The sequence below is a fragment of the Homo sapiens genome, chromosome 21 (assembly GCF_000001405.40).
Source record: "Homo sapiens chromosome 21, GRCh38.p14 Primary Assembly".
Lineage (NCBI taxonomy): Eukaryota > Metazoa > Chordata > Mammalia > Primates > Hominidae > Homo > Homo sapiens.
In genome coordinates, this window is record NC_000021.9 from 15,285,282 (window position 1) to 15,302,207 (window position 16,926).

The following is a 16,926-nucleotide window of genomic DNA, read 5'->3' on the forward strand; positions in this document are numbered from 1 at the left end:
AAGTGATTTTTCAATATTTAAAAACCAGTTACCTGGATTTCACATGACCAGAAGTGAATAGAATTAGAACATCAAATACTTTGACATAATGCAAACACTACTAGTCGGGATGAACTCATGAGTTCTCTTTTTTTATCCCAGCTTCATTTCTGGATTTACCATCTTGCCTTCCATTTTATTTTTCATTTCTTTTATCTCCATCTTTATCCTCCCTTCTCCTGGCCACCACCTCCTCTCTTATTTTATGGAATAAATTGTAATGTGAAGAGCATCTTCAAGAAATTATATCTTATGGCCTTTCTTAAGGTAATTCAAACTTGTGCTTGGCCGAAAAAGAACTGTATGCTAAATTTATGTATGTTCGCAGAGACAGAGAGAAACTATTTTTTCTCTGTCCCCTTCATGAGACATTTAAACAAGTGAGTAACAGGTGCTGCATGCCTGGAACACACTGTACTCTGAATATTCTTGTAAGGAGTTGTGCACTCTGGGGAGAGCATTTCATATCCAAGTCCTCATGAACAACACCTGTGCTTGGTCAGTCACCGGAAGGATACACCCTTGGTGATAAAAAGGGATTTTATTGGGCTATGGATAGAATTGTTTCGTTAAATACTTGGGAAGGAAGCTGATAAATTAAGTCTACCAAGTTGGATAATAACTGCATGCCCTTTGGGATAAGCTATTTTATCTGTGCTTTGAATGGAAGAAATAATGCAAGATTGAACCACCAAACTAGTGTATTATTTTAATTTGAAAAAAAAAATTTACTTTTTCTAATAAGAAATATAAAACTTTATTGTGCCAAAGTGGCAATACTCAAGTAGGAAAAGAAAAAAAAGAGATATAAAGAAGGAACGATTGGTTAGTTGGATTGAGAGGCTAATCTCCATGTCTTTTGCATTAACCTCAGAATTAGCAGGTATAGCTCATGGACTCAGCTTAATAAAGACGATTTATACAGTGCTATGGATAAGAGAAGAGCTCTAGAAACAATATTTGTAAGCCATAAATTACTAATACATATGTACTTATGATGAATAATTATTTTTCAATATGATGAGCATGATCTGCCTTTGAAGAGAAAAATAAAGTCTAGGTTTCTGAAGGAGAATTAACTCCATTAGGCCCTTAGGGTATACGTACTTTAAGTCACTTCACTGCCTAGAGTTTTAAGTATCCTAATGGCTAGAAATTATGCATTTGTCCATACAGAGTATCCTGATAACTCCCCCAGGCAGACCTGAACTATAATTTAAGCCAATTCTTGATAACTTTTATAAGCATGGCAAGATGCTCTTCTTTTCTCCACTCCCATCCACTCCCACCTCAGTGTGTGTGAATCAATCACTATCCAGCTCCAACATCACCATACTGCTGCTTATCAATTACAAGTCAAGTTATTTTACAAAAGTGATAAGTATCCTGAATTCCATCTGTGATTTAGTGTTCTAGTTGAAATATTTTATGTTTGCCTTCCAGATGTTTTTTTTTCTTGAGACAGGGTCTCAATGACTCTTGTTTCCCAGGCTGGAGTGCAGTGGCACAATCATAGCTCACTGCAGCCTCAACCTCCTGTACTCAAATGATCCTCCTGCCCCAGGCTCCCAAGTAGCAAATGTCACCATGCCTAGCTAATTTTTAAATATTTTGTAGAAACAGGATCACACTGTGCTATATATCTTGGTCTAAAACTCCTAGCCTTAAGCAATCCTCCTGTCTCGGCCTCCCAAAGCATTAGGGTTACAGGCATGAGCCACTGCATTTGGCTTCTGCTAGGTTTTAATTATTCTGAATGTCCATAGTATACATTTTAAGTTGTTAATCATTGGAGAAAACAAGATGGTGTGGGGGAAGTTTGTCCTAGTGACAACAGGTCAATATACAAGGCCAGAAGTTGTTGAGATCTAAAAACAGAACACTCTAGGCCTGACCCCAAGAATATTTCAGTTCATATTTTCAGTGTATTTCCAGAAGTCTAGAGGAAATTTTCACTTGCCTGTTTCCTCACATCTTACACTAACTTACACTAACTTCATCTCCCTCTCAACTTGGAGCTGTTTCCCTGTTTATGACGTTCTGTTAGGGATATTCTTATCCTTCTAGTTTTCAGGGCAAGAAATTAGGAATATGGGTATCATCTTTGTCTTCACTTCTTACTGTCATTCTCTATGTCTCAGCTTCCATTAAGGTTTGCATTCTTTCCTTTCAAAGATCATCTGGGATTTGCCCCTTCTCTGTGTGTGTGGAGTTAGCTTACCAGCTCCACTGGGCTTTCAATGTCCACCAGCTGTCCACCTCCATCCCACAGCACATACTCTCTTCCTGTGTTGGGCCTCCCCTTACTATCATTACACTTTGTGAAGTCTTGTCCTGACTCTGAAGATTGCTTTATCCTCTCCTCCTTGCCTGATATGTCCTACCGGTTTGCCAGATTGGACAATTTCCTTTTGAAATCGATCTCTTTCCTACTCAACCTAGACATCGTGGTTCAATTACATGAATGCACTTCCATCAGCACCCTCAACTTCTCCTCTATTTCATCTTTCTTTAGCCATTATCTACTCCCAGCCATGACAATGGTAATATCCAATCAAAAACAAATACACCCATTCTTTTTATTTGTAACCATCCTTTTTCTTTACTATTTGTCCTTGGTGCAGAACGTTAGAATTCTGTAAAGGTGCTGAATGGTACCACCACAAGTCTATCCCAAACCAACTGGTCCCTCAATACCACTAGATAATTCTTTCTCCTGTGTATAATTTTGGCCCTTTTATATTTCCTGTGTTTACTGTTCAGATTTTTTTTTATTCTGCTCATTTTGCCTTCCTAACTCCATCTCTCTAAGCCCGACCAGTCAACTCTGCCTGATTCCTCAAACAAGGGAAGGACCACTGGGACCCTCTCTCCCTGGCATGCTGGCCTCTGCTTACGGAATCCATTCTTACCCATCTTCTCTCCTGTTTTAGAGCAAGGTATCCCTGGGGCTTCTCTCTAAGATGTCTGTGATGGTTAGTTTTGTGCATCAACTTGACTAGGTCAAGGGGTGCTCAAACGTTATTTCTGGGTGTGTCTGAAAGGGAATTTCCAGGTGATATTGGCATTTGAATCAGTGGCTTCAGTAAATATCACCCTTCCCAATATATGTGGGCATCATCCAATCCATTGAGGGCCTGAATAGCATAAAAGGGGAAAGAAGGGGCAATTTGTCGCTTTTTGCTTCTGGCCTGCCTGCTTGAGCTGGGACACCATGGACTGAGATTTACACCACCGGCTCCCCTGAATCTCAGGCCTTCAGACTCAGACGGAAATTAGCCACTGGCTTTCCCGGGGATTCAGCTTGCAGTTGGCAGATCATGGGACTTCTCAGCCTTCATAATTGAGTGAGCCAATTCCTCATAACAGATCTCTTCCTATACACATCCTTTTGGTTCTGCTTCTCTGAGGAACCCTGACTGATATAACATCCTTCCCCCATACTCTAGGACCTTGATCACCACTTAGGTCCCCTTTTTGTAAATATTCCACATTTCGTTTTTCTTCTGAAACCCTCCTCCAGAGTTATACTGATATGCCCGAGTCTTCCTCACCCTCAAAAATATGTTATTTTATCCCTACATCCTATTTAAGCAACTTATTAATTCCTCTGTCAGGGGGTGAGGGGAGGTTAAAAAAAAAGAAAAAAAGAACACACTTACTGGCTGTATATTCTCGAGTTTCAAACAGTCCTTCACTTATTACAATCTAGTGTTCTTTCTCTTCACCCTAAGAAGACTGTTCTCCCTTTAGCCACAAATGACATTCTCATCACCAAATCTTTTGCTTTTGGTCACATTGCTTAATTTCCCTACAGTATTTGATGCTTGATATTATTTCTTGTAGGAATTCTGTGGTACTAATGTCACGAGATTCTTGGGCATCACTTCACCAGCCGGGAACTTCTGTGGCCAGTGGCACCTTTGCCCAAGTTTTGCTTGGGCCTGCTGGGCTTGCTCCACCCACTTGGCCTGGCAGGCTGCACTCAGCTCACACTACCAGCCTGGATCCCATGCCTGCCAAGGATGAGCCAGGCACAGAGCGGTGAGGGGTGCATGAGCAAGCGTGGGGTCCGGGCACTGCGCACAAGTCAGGAATGCTGGCTGTGGCTGGGCACGCAGCTCCCGGTGCCAGCACGGGTGCCGGCTCCCTGCAAGGTTGCGGCTTGACCAGGTGTATTGCAAGCAGCTTCCATAGCTGGCACCGGGGACAGTGGTGGTACCCAGAAGCTTGGAGATGGCAGGAACCGCGGAGCCCCAAAGAGGGTGTCACAGCCCTGGCCTGGGGACGTCCTAGGTCTGGGCTCCCTGAAGGACTGCAAGTCTTCTCTCCTTCTCTCTTCTCTTCTTCTTGTCACCTGCTACATGATGAGCAAGGGACATGTTTCAGTCCTGTTTGTGTTACAGCTCTTTTAGCCCCTCTGTTCGGTGGTTCCTGAGTTCTCGTCCTGTGTCCAGGAAGAATGAGGTATGTAGACAAATGAAGGGTGAGCAAGGCAAAGAAGAGTTTTATTGAGCAACAGAATAGCTCAGAGGAGACCCACAGTGGGCAGCTCCTGTGGTGTTTAGCTCCTCTCCGCAGACAGGGTGTCCTGACAAGTGTCGAGCTCTCAGTAGATAGGAGACCTTAGGGTGGGTAATTCCTCTCTGCAGTTGGTGGTCCCATCAACTCTCCGAGTCTGGCTGAGTGGGTGGGTCGGGGTGGAGGCGGTTACGGGCTTCAGAGGGAGGAAGTGCATGCTGATCAGTCCATGGGCAGCCGTAGATGGGCCCAGACAAAGCACCATAGGTTACCACTTCCTCTGTGGGACAGGCAGTCCTGCCCCCAGGCTTCAGGCCTTCCTTGCTTGAAGGTGGGGTTTCACGGGGGACCTGCCCCTTTCTGCCCAGGAGCCTGTCTGCCTCCGGCTGCTGTTCATGGTGCCCAGGCTGTTCGTGCTGAGGGGAGCCTGCAGGCCAGTGACGAGCTACCCTCAGCATCACCTCAGCCTCCCTCCTGTGCTCATCGGGGCCCGAAGTCTGGGGGGGCCTGAGGCAGCAGGGGGCTGGCGTGTCAGCATTGCCTCTAAAGAGCACACACCCAGCCGGGTTGTGACAGTGCCCAGGGTTGGCCTCAACTTTGCTCTGAGATCGGAGTCGGCGCTGGGAGCAAGGAAAGGCCAGGCAGCGGGAGCACACACTTCCGAGCCTGCAGGAGCAGGGGACCTTCCCGGGCCTGAGAGTGCAGAGATGCCAAGGTCCACAGCCACAGCTTGGGCAGCTTCAGCTGCACCCTGTAGGGTGGGGCTCCTGCCTGCTCCCGGCCCCTAAGAGTACAGGGAGGCCTGGGTCTGCAGCTGCGCCCAAGGAGTGCGAAGCTTCCACCCTGTCAACTGAGAAGGGGGTGGGGCTTCTGTCCCGGCTCCCACCGGCTACACGCAGCACAGAGCCCTAGCCACGCCTCCCCGAGTGCAGCTGGAGTCATGGCAGCAGCTGCTCTAGACGGGCCACCGCTGCCATCACTAATCTCTTCTAGTTTCTATTTGCTTTTCCGCCTTTCAATGGGCTCACCTATTGCATTGTGTGGGTGTTCCCTCAGTATATAAAGGTACGATCCTTGATCTTCATTTCTTTTCTTTTACAGCAGCCGTACATGATCCCATTTTTATCAACAGCTTTATCTTATATTATGAGCTATATTTCCACGTGCAGATGACTTCTCAATCTGTATGTCCAGTCATCTCCCGTTGTCATTTCCTTCAGTCCATTCTGACCTTTATCTTTTATTAATAAAAAGAATGCACTGCTTCCTATCTCTACCTCATTTAAACACCCCTGATGTTTGTAGGATACAGGTCAAACTGTTTAGTGTGGTGTAAAGTCCACCAGCATCTGGATTCTCATCTTCTACTATTCATAGCTGCATGTACTCTCCTCCAATCATATTGGAATTCTTATGATAATCTTTTCTTCTGCAATATTTGTGTACCGTTAGCCTCTCCCCTCCACCCCAGCTCAAACTCTGAAAAAAGTTTCATGACCATGGATTGTATAATACAGATATTGAAAATACTAATATCAGTCTATTTTGTAATCACCTTGTTGGTGCCTTGAGGCAAAGCCACACTTTTCTCCCTGAAAAAGAAAAAAATGTGATCATTGTCAAACATCTTGGGAATTTTTTCAATATGGGACAAGCAATAAGGTATGTGTTTGATCTGGGGATTGGAGAAACATCTTACTTCCTCACGACCAGGGACTTCCAGGCATGGTATTAATCTAGAATTCTAGGTTGAGTGTCCACAATACAAATTCTGATGTGAGAGGATTTGCATGTAAGTGGTTTATGGAGAGGAAATAGGAAAGGGTACAGGAGAAGCAGGTTACATGAGGGGAAAAAAGCCAAGAAAGGGTGTAATTTCAGGTAAAGTCCCAGCCTGGCTCTACCCTCTGGGGAAGTCTAGAGTGTATATTCCACCTCAGACATTGCCCTGCCTTGAGGCAAATGGGCTTGAATTGCATCTGCTTGCAGCAGCAGTTAGTCATTGGCTACAGGCTGGGAAAGGTGGATAGGAATGAGGATTTGTAAACTCCAGATACTTCCAGCTTTGCTTCTGGCACTCAAGAGCAGGCCACTGAAAAACTGCAGGTGCAAGCAGTTAGTAGATCACAGAGCTGGGAATGGCATAAAAAACTGGCAACAGAGATGTGAAGGAACACCAATGGTATCCAATACACCTGGTTACGGAGAAGCGGGCTAGGAGGCAGTATAATCACAGACCTTGACCTTTTTACTGCCAGCTGCAGTCATAGCAAGAACAGTAGAACACAGAAGAGACAGCTTTTTGAGCAATCATCTCGGGGCAGTAATGGAGTCCTTTGTCCTCAAGTGGCCATGCCTAGCCCCGCTACCAAGTGATGAGACATACCAGGACTTGGACTTCTGGGCCCCAACTAGAGGAATCACCAGTGGTTATGGGCAGCCCACTGTGCTCAACAGAGAAGAGACTTTCTGAGGGTTATTAGTAGTAGAGCAAAAGCCTGGGGACAAAATAAGCAGGCCGGAGAGGGATGCCCAGACAGAGTAATTTCAAAATGCATGCAGAATTATATTGCAGAAAACTTAGAAGTAACTAGGAAGTGGAAGAGACTCTTACAGGGAGAGAAGTCAGTAGAATCTCTGAAATCAGTTAAAGTTTGGGCTACACTCCTTTTAAGTACTGGTGAGAGACTTGAATTATCAGTCTCTAAACCCCCAATGGCTGTGTATTATCCAAGCATGATCCAAGGAATGCAACAACAACACCTATCTTCTCCTTGGGCTTTCGGACCCACGAACAATGTCCCAACTTGAATGAACACTTTTCTAATTTTTCCTAGACTCAGTTTCTCCCTCCTCTGTCCTTAAAAAGCACTCAGCAACTTTTATTACAGAATTTGCTACATTGTACTACGGTGGTCAATTTAGATGTTTGTCTATCCCAAAAAACTCCTTCAGGAAAGAAGCTACTACTCACCTCTCTTTCTCAGTATTAAACATACTATTTGGATTATAATACAGTCTTCATAAACACTAGTTGAGTGAAGAAAGCACATGGAACCATGATTTTCATCCTTTTGGGAAGGAAAAGATATCTCAGAATGTGATGTGAACTATGAAACTTCTTCCAGAAAAATGCACAAACAGAATCTTATATACATTAATATGGAAGAATTTCTCAAAACAGTGAAAAAAGAAAGTGATCCAGGTGGCTACTAGCATAAAGCAAGTCTTTCAAACTCAAGACTAATGGTAGAGATCTTCCAAAATATTTGAAATCCTGGTATGTTCTAACTCTTACAGTATACTAATGAGAAACATTTTAGGAGCTCGCTTCCAGATTACATGCACCAGCTACTTTGGAGGAAGTTCATAAGAATTGCAATTAGTGAGAAGCGAAGCACTGATGGGAACCAAGCAAGAAAACAGAAGAGTAATGAAATGAAGAGAGCTTTAATGAACAAGAAAAACAGGCAGGAGCAGGCAAGTCAGGCCCTGAAAATGAATGGTGGGAGAGGCACTGTTTTCCCTCAGATTAATGTCACACTCAAGGCTGCCTTATTTGACTACTGAATGAGTCATGTCTAAGGTATTTCAGCCAGATAGAAGCAAAACCTCCTCCTTCATAGATTCTATCTTTTCCAAGAGTCCCAGGGAGCCTCACATTCCCATTCCATTCCTCTAGTCTTAAAACATTTTTACTTTCCAGCTGTTGGCTACTCAGCCAGTGATAATGACATCATTTATTTAAGTAAAGGAAACAACTTCCAGTGTTCATATTCAATGTGATAATATTACCATTTTAGAGATTTTAGTGTTTGGTTGTGTTTCCACCTTTGATGAAAGTGTAATGAAATACTTTGTATATGTTAAGTTTCAATGAGTAATTATTGATGAGCAGACTGTTGATTGAGACAGATTTAATGAAAGGGGAGTCAATTTATAAACTGTACTTATAATTTTGAAATATTTTCAAACTTATTATCTCTTTTACTTTTCTGAGCAAGGTACATACACAAAATATTTCACTATGCAATTTAAGATAGACCCTAAGCTAAACATGTGAGGAAGAATTAGGTAACATTCAGGTAGATTCAAATTTCTAGAAGCAATTATTTAAAAGTAAAATGAAAATAAATATAATCTACCTAATAATAATCACACTTCTCCTGGCTACAGAAACTCATTCCTTCTTTTGCACCATGGCCATACAATTTTTAAATGCGTAGAAAGAGCTGGAGGTAAATAAATTCAGGTGTAAAATCATATATATTTGAAAGTTTCCTTAAACTTATCTATAGAGATAAATTGCATTGAAGCTGATGTATTACTTTCAAGGTTCTCTTTTCATATACATATTTGTTTAAAGTATATTAAAATTTTAAACTTCTGATTATGGTTAAGTTTCCTTGATTCAAAGGCTCAAATGTTTCTGACATTGGGTTGCATCTTACAATCTAGGTGGACACTTAATGTAACAAGTTCTTAAACTGATGGTTCACTGTGTAACTGATGTACTTTTAGAATAAAGAAAATGTGCTAACATAAAATTCTATTTACTCTTCCAAAAACATTACTCAGAGATGAGGACTTTCCATTGTTATTCTACAGCTTCTAAGTTCTCTATCCATTTTCTTCATTTTTATCCTTCAGAAGTTAATTTATTTAGGGAACAATGAGGCAAAGTTTTTGAGAATGGTGAAAGAATAAGATAAATTTGGTTTTCCAATCCTGCTGGGGAGATCCATGTACTCTCAGTGAATTAATGACAGGAGATGTTTCCTTGTTACTAATTTAGAAGTCAGCCTTAGTAAACCTTCATACCTTGCAATGGTCATCCACAAAGTCTGGTTGAAGCATTCAAACATGGATGATATCAAGACAAGAGAGCTTCATTTTAGCACCTGGCTGCCCCTTTTCCCCAAATATAAATCTATTTGTGTTAGAATTGGCCAAAGGCTTTGTCTCATTAAATTGTATTCAACCAAAAGTATTTTATTAGTGATAAAAAATAAATGTTATGTCAAAGTTACTTAGAAGGTGATGGGGGAATGAAAGTCATTTCACAAAACAATATGAAAAATGAAAAAGCTCTCTTTGATCATAGTTCATAATTGAAGGTTATTTCCATTTCCTAGGTAGTTATTTTGGCAATTAAATCTACTCAAAAGTTTTATCTCTAAAAAATTAATTGTATGTTGAAAATGTGAATTGGGATAATGTACTTTACAAAGGTTAAAAGAGGTTATTCCAAACGTTATTTCAGTAACATTAGATTTGCTATCAGATGCTGAAAAGTTTAAGATATTAAAAAGTATAAGATGCTAAAACTGTTCTCTGTATGGAAAAAGTATGATTTAATTTTATTAGTCAGAATTGTTTAGCATGCATGTTACCTTAGTGTTTGTAAGGTGGTAACAGTCTATACTACCATGTAGCGTGTTGTTTATAAATCTTCCTTGATTTAATGACTAGACTATAAATTTCTTCAGCATACTATCAAATTTCTTATTTTTAAACAGCTTTATTGAAGTATAACTGACATACAATTGACTGAATATTTTTAAAATATACAATTTGCTTAAGTTACTCCCAAACTCACTGATGATCTGTTCATTTTTTCTTTTTTTCTGTATGTTTGTGTGTTGCATTTTGAATAGTTTCTATTGTGATATCTCCAAGTTTACTAGCCTTTTCTTCTGCAGGATCTGATCTACTATAAATCCTATCCAGTGTATTTTCATCTTACACATTGTAGTTTTCCAGTGTAGAGACGTGATTTTCAAATCGTAGAGGTGCAGGAACATCTCCAGACCAGCGGTCTCCAACCTTTTAAGCACCAGGCACTGGTTTTGTGGAAGACAATTTTTCCTCGGACGGGGGGTGGGGGAGATGGTTTCAGGATGGTTGAAGTGCATTATATTTATGGTGCTATTTATTTCTGTTATTATTACATTGTAATATATAACAAAATAATTATACAACTCATCATAATGTAGAATAAGCTCAGTGGGAGCCCTGAGCTTACTGTCCTGCAACTAGACAGTCCCATCTAGGGTTGGTGGGAGACAGTGATAGATCATCAGACATTAGAGTCTCAAAAGGAGCACGCAACCTAGATCCCTTGCATGTGCAGTTCACAATAGGGTTTGTGCTCCAGTGAGAATCTAATGGTACCGCTGGTGTGACAGGAAGTGGAGCTCAGGTGGTAATGTGAGCAGTGGGGAGTGGATGAAAATACAGATGAAGCTTCACTGGCTTGCCTACAGCTCACATCCTGCTGTGTGGCCTGGTTCCTAACAGGCCACTGTACCAAGTCTATGGCCCAGGAGTTGGGGACTCCTGCTCTAGACATTCAACTTAGATATTTTTAAATATCTTCTATGTCTCCACTTAGTATTTTGCACATATGGAACACAGTCACATATGTTTTAATACCCTTTTCTGCTAATTCTAATACCTGTATCAGTTCTGGGTCAGTTTCAATTGAGTGACTGAACTTCACTATTGGTTGTATTTTCCCATTTCTTGCATGTTGGTAATCTTTGGTTGTATGTCAGATACTGTGAATTTTACCTTGTTCCATGCTTGTTATGTGTAAGCATATATATATATATATATATATATATATATATATATATACACACACACACACATATATACATAATTTACATATTATGTATATATTTATCTTTTTTTGGAAAGACACTCCTGGACAGCATTTAGTGAGAGGCTACCATGTACAAATACTTTACATATATTGAGATTAACTTTATGTTTACAACAACCTCATCAAATAGGTATCATTATACTTACTTCAAGGATAAAGAAACAGAGCATCAAAGAGGCTAAGTAACTTGCCTGAGGTCACACAGCAGGTAAGTGGCAAAGATGGGATTTGAACCCAGGTGATTTGCACTCCTACAAATATTCTTGAATTTTGATCTGGGGGCATAGAAAATTTCTTGGAAGCAGTTTGTCATTTTCAGGTCTTGCTTTTAAGAATTGTTAGGAGGCACCAGAATAGTGCTTACTAGGACTGATCAAGATCCTTTTGAGTTTTCTACCTTGTTATGGTAGAATTATGCGATTTTCCCAGTTTGACAAGAAGAAGCACCATTCCAGGCCCTGTGTGAATTCCAGACACTGTTCCCTTAATCTTCTTAGATGGTTCTTTCTTACCCTTCAGTCATTTCCTTACATGTATGTGCTGATCAGTACTATGTTGAATGCTACTTGAGAGGAACTCTTGGCAGATTTTTGTTTTTTTAACTCTGGGCATCCCCCTCCTCTCCAATACTCTTTGTCTAGTGATCTCTGATTGCTTTGGTCTCCCCAGACTCTCAACTCTGTCTCTGCAACTCAGGGAGTTTGCTGGGCTCTTCTTGGGTACCCCCTGTCTATCCTACAGCCTGGAAACTCTTAATCACTTTAAAATCACTTCCTTCATTGCCCGATGTCCAGTTTCTTGAAAGCCATTGTTTAAATTGTTTTGTTTTGTTGTTTTAGGCAGGAGGGTGATTTCAGTCCTTGTGATTCCATCTTAGCCAGAAATGGAAATCTACACTTCAATATCATTCAAATGTTTGTGTATATGTATATGTGTGTGTCTGTGTGTATATATGTATATAAACCCTGTGTGTGTGTGTGTGTGTGTGTGTGTGTGTGTGTGTGTGTGTGTGTGGGGTGTTCTCACTGCTCACTCTCTGTACTAAGCCCCTATCCCAGCATGGTCCGTGAAAAAAAAAAATTGATGTATTGTTTTGATAAGAACAATTTTAGTAATTATGAAATTTATTCAGTTTCTTTCCTGTCTTCTTGATTCTCTTTTTGCTCAATTCTCTCTTACTTGAAGGTGCTGAGTCTCCTTTATAATAAACAGCAGAAGAATTTATTGAACCTTGCCCACTGTAGGACATGATTTTATGGGTTATCAATAGACGTTTTCTAAGAACATGAGGACTGCTACTAGAAGGAAAAAAAACATTATTGGAAATACATTGGGAAACATTTCAGTCATTTTAAAAACTGAGTCTTTATGCAAATCATTTCTCTGTGCCACATACAAAAGATACCCTTAATTTGGTGCTTGTTCTTGGAAATCACTGTTAAAGGATACAAAAAGTATTTTTTCTCAAGAGTGGTTAGGTGTGGCTTCTAGGGTTTGATAATGAAAGCAGAACTATTCATGCATAATAGAATCAGTGCATAAGAGAATCATGACTTTTTTTTTTAAGCCTGTCTTACTTTGCTATTCTGGACAGGTGTTTCCATAGTGCAATTTTAGCTACAAAAATGGTTCATAATTGCCAACACCTAATTTAACATTCTGAAGCTAATCATAAAACAACCTCCCCTTTCACAGGAGAGACAAAGTCTCAGCTGGGCTTTAAATCCTGATTATATGACAAGGTTCCAATTGAAATTTTAGCCATCAACCAAGTGACCTTCAATGACCACAAGCTGGGAAGCTTGGTAGCTAATCTAAACAGATCTCTAGGCAAAACCCCCAACCCAGTGTGGATTTCCAGACCCTTGCATTATTCACCTCATGAAAAAAGACAAGCAGAATATGAAAAGCAAATGATTGTAGCAACCTTCCACCCTCAATTCCTGAAAGGCCAACGGCAAGCTGTGAAAATATTCCCATGACCCTACTTCCTGTGTGAGGGCTTAGGACACTGATAAAATGTTTATATTGTCAGCCCGCATATAACAGTAATGCTGTCTGCCTTTAAGAAAGTGTTATTTTGAAGGAATGTTGCTCACACTAAAATAAAAGAAGTTGGCTGGGCGTGGTGGCTCACACCTGTTATCCCAGCGCATTGGGAGGCCAAGGAGGGTGGATCACCTGAGGTTGGAAGTTCAAGACCAGCCTGACCAACATGGAGAAACCCCATCTCTACTAAAAAAATACAAAATTAGCCGGGCGTGGTGGCATATGCTTGTAATCCCAGCTACTCGTGAGGCTGAGGCAGGAGAATCGCTTGAACCCGGAAGGCAGAGGTTCTGGTGAGCTGAGATCTCGCCATTGCACTCCAGCCTGGGCAACAAGAGTGAAACTCTGTCTCAAAAAAATGAAAAAATAAATAAATAAATAAATAAATAAATAAATAAATAAATAAATAAATTAAATAAATTCTACACGTCTAACTACTTGCAGATCGCAATAATATCATGCTTAGTATTTTTACTTCTCATAATTGTTTTTAGCAGATAACTCAATTTGAAGGAAGTTTAACTATTAATGTTTTTGTGTAAACTTTTTCTTTTCTTTGTAACAAAATTCTTCCAAACAAGATTTTCTTTTATCTTTACAAGACATTTTTTACAACTTCAATTTTTTAAAAAATATCCTGGCATAGTGGCTTAGGATGTTGGCAGACAGGAAATACTTCATTCCTGCTTTAAGCGAGATTGGTAAACACCTTGGCTCTTAATTGCTAAACCATAGATTCATCTTGGGTGATCCATTTTTAATCCATGTTTTTATTCTTCACAGTGATCAGCATACTGCTTTACACAAAGCTGGCACTATGAAACATTTGTTGAATGCTGGACTTTACTAAAATGATGAATGAAGGAATTGATTTTCACTATGGCTATTGTGGTTCTGCCTTAAGGATTTTTTTCCTTGATTTATAACTTTATGTCTAGAAAATTTTGCCAAAGACATATGATTACATCACATTGAATTATACATTTAACAAGATGTTTATCCTATATTAAATTCAATAATATTTTATGAAACAAAACTGAAAATATAATTTAAAAATCTATATTAAGTAGAGCAATATATTTTTATATTTGACTTGGGTGTACTCATCCTCTTTCCAATACAGATTTTAGCTGGCTTGCAGAAAAAGATCTACACACTAACAGTATCAGAATAAGTTAGAGGAAAGAAAGTGGAGAAGAAAGAAGAAGAATTAAGCATGCCAACTGCAGAGGCCAGTCCAGTGTGTATGATTGCACATTAAAACTGGCTGTATGTTTTGGCATTCAAAGTTAAGCGCGCGCACACACACACACACACACACACACACACACATACACAATGGGTTACATAACTAATAGAAAAGAAGAAAATGTACTGCTTTCTCAAGGCACATTATTTTCCTAGTAATAAACTCAGACCAAGTTCTCTTGTGGGTCTTAGGCGGGGAACATTGAGTAATGTAATGGGCAATGTCCTTATGCCCATTTCAGAGCAAATGAAGAAATGGGCCTCATGTGGCTCTTTCTTGTAAAGGCCTTCAATAAAAGTCAAAACCATAATATTAAAATATTAGGGAGAAAAACAGTTCTGGGAGGAGCCCAGAGAATTTGATGCCAGCATGTGTTCAATTCTGATCCAAGGGTAAACTTAGAATGCCTGGAGGTATGAAATGCTGAGACTGGTTCTTGGTTTATACTTCCTACTTGTTAGGAGCAGGATTACAGCAAATTGCTCAAGGCAACCCTCAGGTGACAACCTTGGCTGAGGTTTTATGTTTATGATGAAGACAGATTAGTAAGATTTAGAATCCACATGAATTGGTAAAAGGCCAATCTATAATTAGAAAATTCAGAACACTAACCAGTGTTGTGAGCTGAATTTTCTCATGCCACAGATGGTGGAATGAGAGGTTGCTATCTAATACGGCTAAGCTCCTCAAATATTTTCATCGAGTTTCTCCTAATGGCAAAGTCAAGTTAAACTTTTACTATCAGGATTTGGGGTCAATTCCCAAAGATCTGTTCCATAGATTGACAATTTCTTTAAATCTCCACTTGCGATTCCAAAATGTACACATCTCAATAAAATATATTTGTTTTAATATAGAGATAGTATTTTTAATAAACTCTAAGAAGATGAACCTTGTTTATTGATTAGCTTTGAATGCTGCTTAGCCCACTTCTCCCAAAGGTATGTCTAATCTATTTTAAGTAGAACAGTTATAAAACTGCCAGGGGTGATTTTAACCTGAAAAGTTGTCAACATTGTTACCACTACAGCTCTAAGCAAACCCAATTAATGTTCTCATGGAAAGCTGAATTCTGAGTCGTATGGTTGCCCAGTGTTTCCTAGGAATTATCAGTAAAGTGTCATTTAATTGATGTGCTATAGAAAGGTTAGGTTTTAACTGAGGTCCAAGGGGAGTTGGTGGGTTCGTGGGTAGCTGGAAAAACACTTGAGGAATCACAGACAGTTTCAACATGGCTTTACTCTTTCTCTGGGCCTGAGTGAGTCTGGGCATGAGCAAGTGTGAGCCTGGGCATGAGCAAGCTGTATGTATGGCATTAGCAGGTTATACCTTTTATAGACAATAATGGCTCCGAGTCAAGCACCAGCTCATGTGGGTGATCACCTAATGAGCCTCACATGACATGGTAACCTAATGTGCAGGGTTGTGCGCCTGTGCTCCAAACTTGCTGAGTCATGTTGGACTGGATGTCTGCCTCAGCCTATTCTTAACCACAGCACATCTATTTTCCTTTACACAAAACTTACGTGATGTTCACAGCTGAATAGCCATCAAGGGAAATAGCTTCACTATTTTCAGGCACAATACTGAATTCCTCTTCCTAATAATAGGTAAAATACTCAGACTTTGGTCTTTTGAGGTCAAAATAATATAAAACTCGCACCGTGAATTTTGACACTCAAAACTAATAAAACAATAATTAGCATTTACATAGCTTTGGGTAGATGTAGGTTTTACACATATCAACTGATTAATCCTCACATCCACCTATGAGGTGGTTACTATCTTTATACTCATTTTATAAAGGGGTAGAATTTGAGGCACAGAGAACATAAGTAACTTGCCCTTGGCACAGGCTAGAAAGTGAATGAGCGGGAATTTGAACCAGGCAGGTTGACTCCAGAATCTTTAACAACAGTGCTAAGCTTACTTGAGATTGTTCTCTTCAGAATCTTATGGTTCTGTATACTTGAGTTACTTCAAGTCTACATGTGGCCTAGATCTATCACTGGAAATGGATCCAGGCCAAAGAAGTCCCAGGTGTAGGCTATAGAGACGCAGCACCCTCATGCTCCCTCAGCATTCTGCTTTGCTCTCTATTTCATTGTCTTTCTCTGCTTATTTGCAGTTCCCATGACAACTTTACCTCAGACATTTCCCATTATGCCCTCTGATTCATCTCCTGTGTGTCCATTACACCCTTTGTGCTTTAACTCCCACTTTAACGGACTCAATCCATCACTGATTCTTAGTGCATATTCTGAGAAGAAATCTCTTGGTCCATCTTCTTTTTGTTTAACCTCAGGCCATACCATAACTTTCTAGCCAGCTTTGCGTTTGGTGCCCTGATCTGGTCTGATCAGCAGTGGCTGTGAGAACTAGTATCTAGTATGTGGAAAAT

General features: G+C 40.2%; 2 annotated features.

Moving 5' to 3' along the window:
• Positions 5,177-5,706: an enhancer, noted in NCBI's record as "H3K4me1 hESC enhancer chr21:16662777-16663306 (GRCh37/hg19 assembly coordinates)". NCBI's record gives its function as "activates a minimal SCP1, AML or CMV promoter by ChIP-STARR-seq in primed H9 embryonic stem cells {active_cell/tissue: H9 hESC(primed)}" and the evidence as "EXISTENCE:reporter gene assay evidence [ECO:0000049][PMID:30033119]".
• Positions 7,853-8,475: an enhancer, noted in NCBI's record as "NANOG-H3K27ac hESC enhancer chr21:16665453-16666075 (GRCh37/hg19 assembly coordinates)". NCBI's record gives its function as "activates a minimal SCP1, AML or CMV promoter by ChIP-STARR-seq in primed H9 embryonic stem cells {active_cell/tissue: H9 hESC(primed)}" and the evidence as "EXISTENCE:reporter gene assay evidence [ECO:0000049][PMID:30033119]".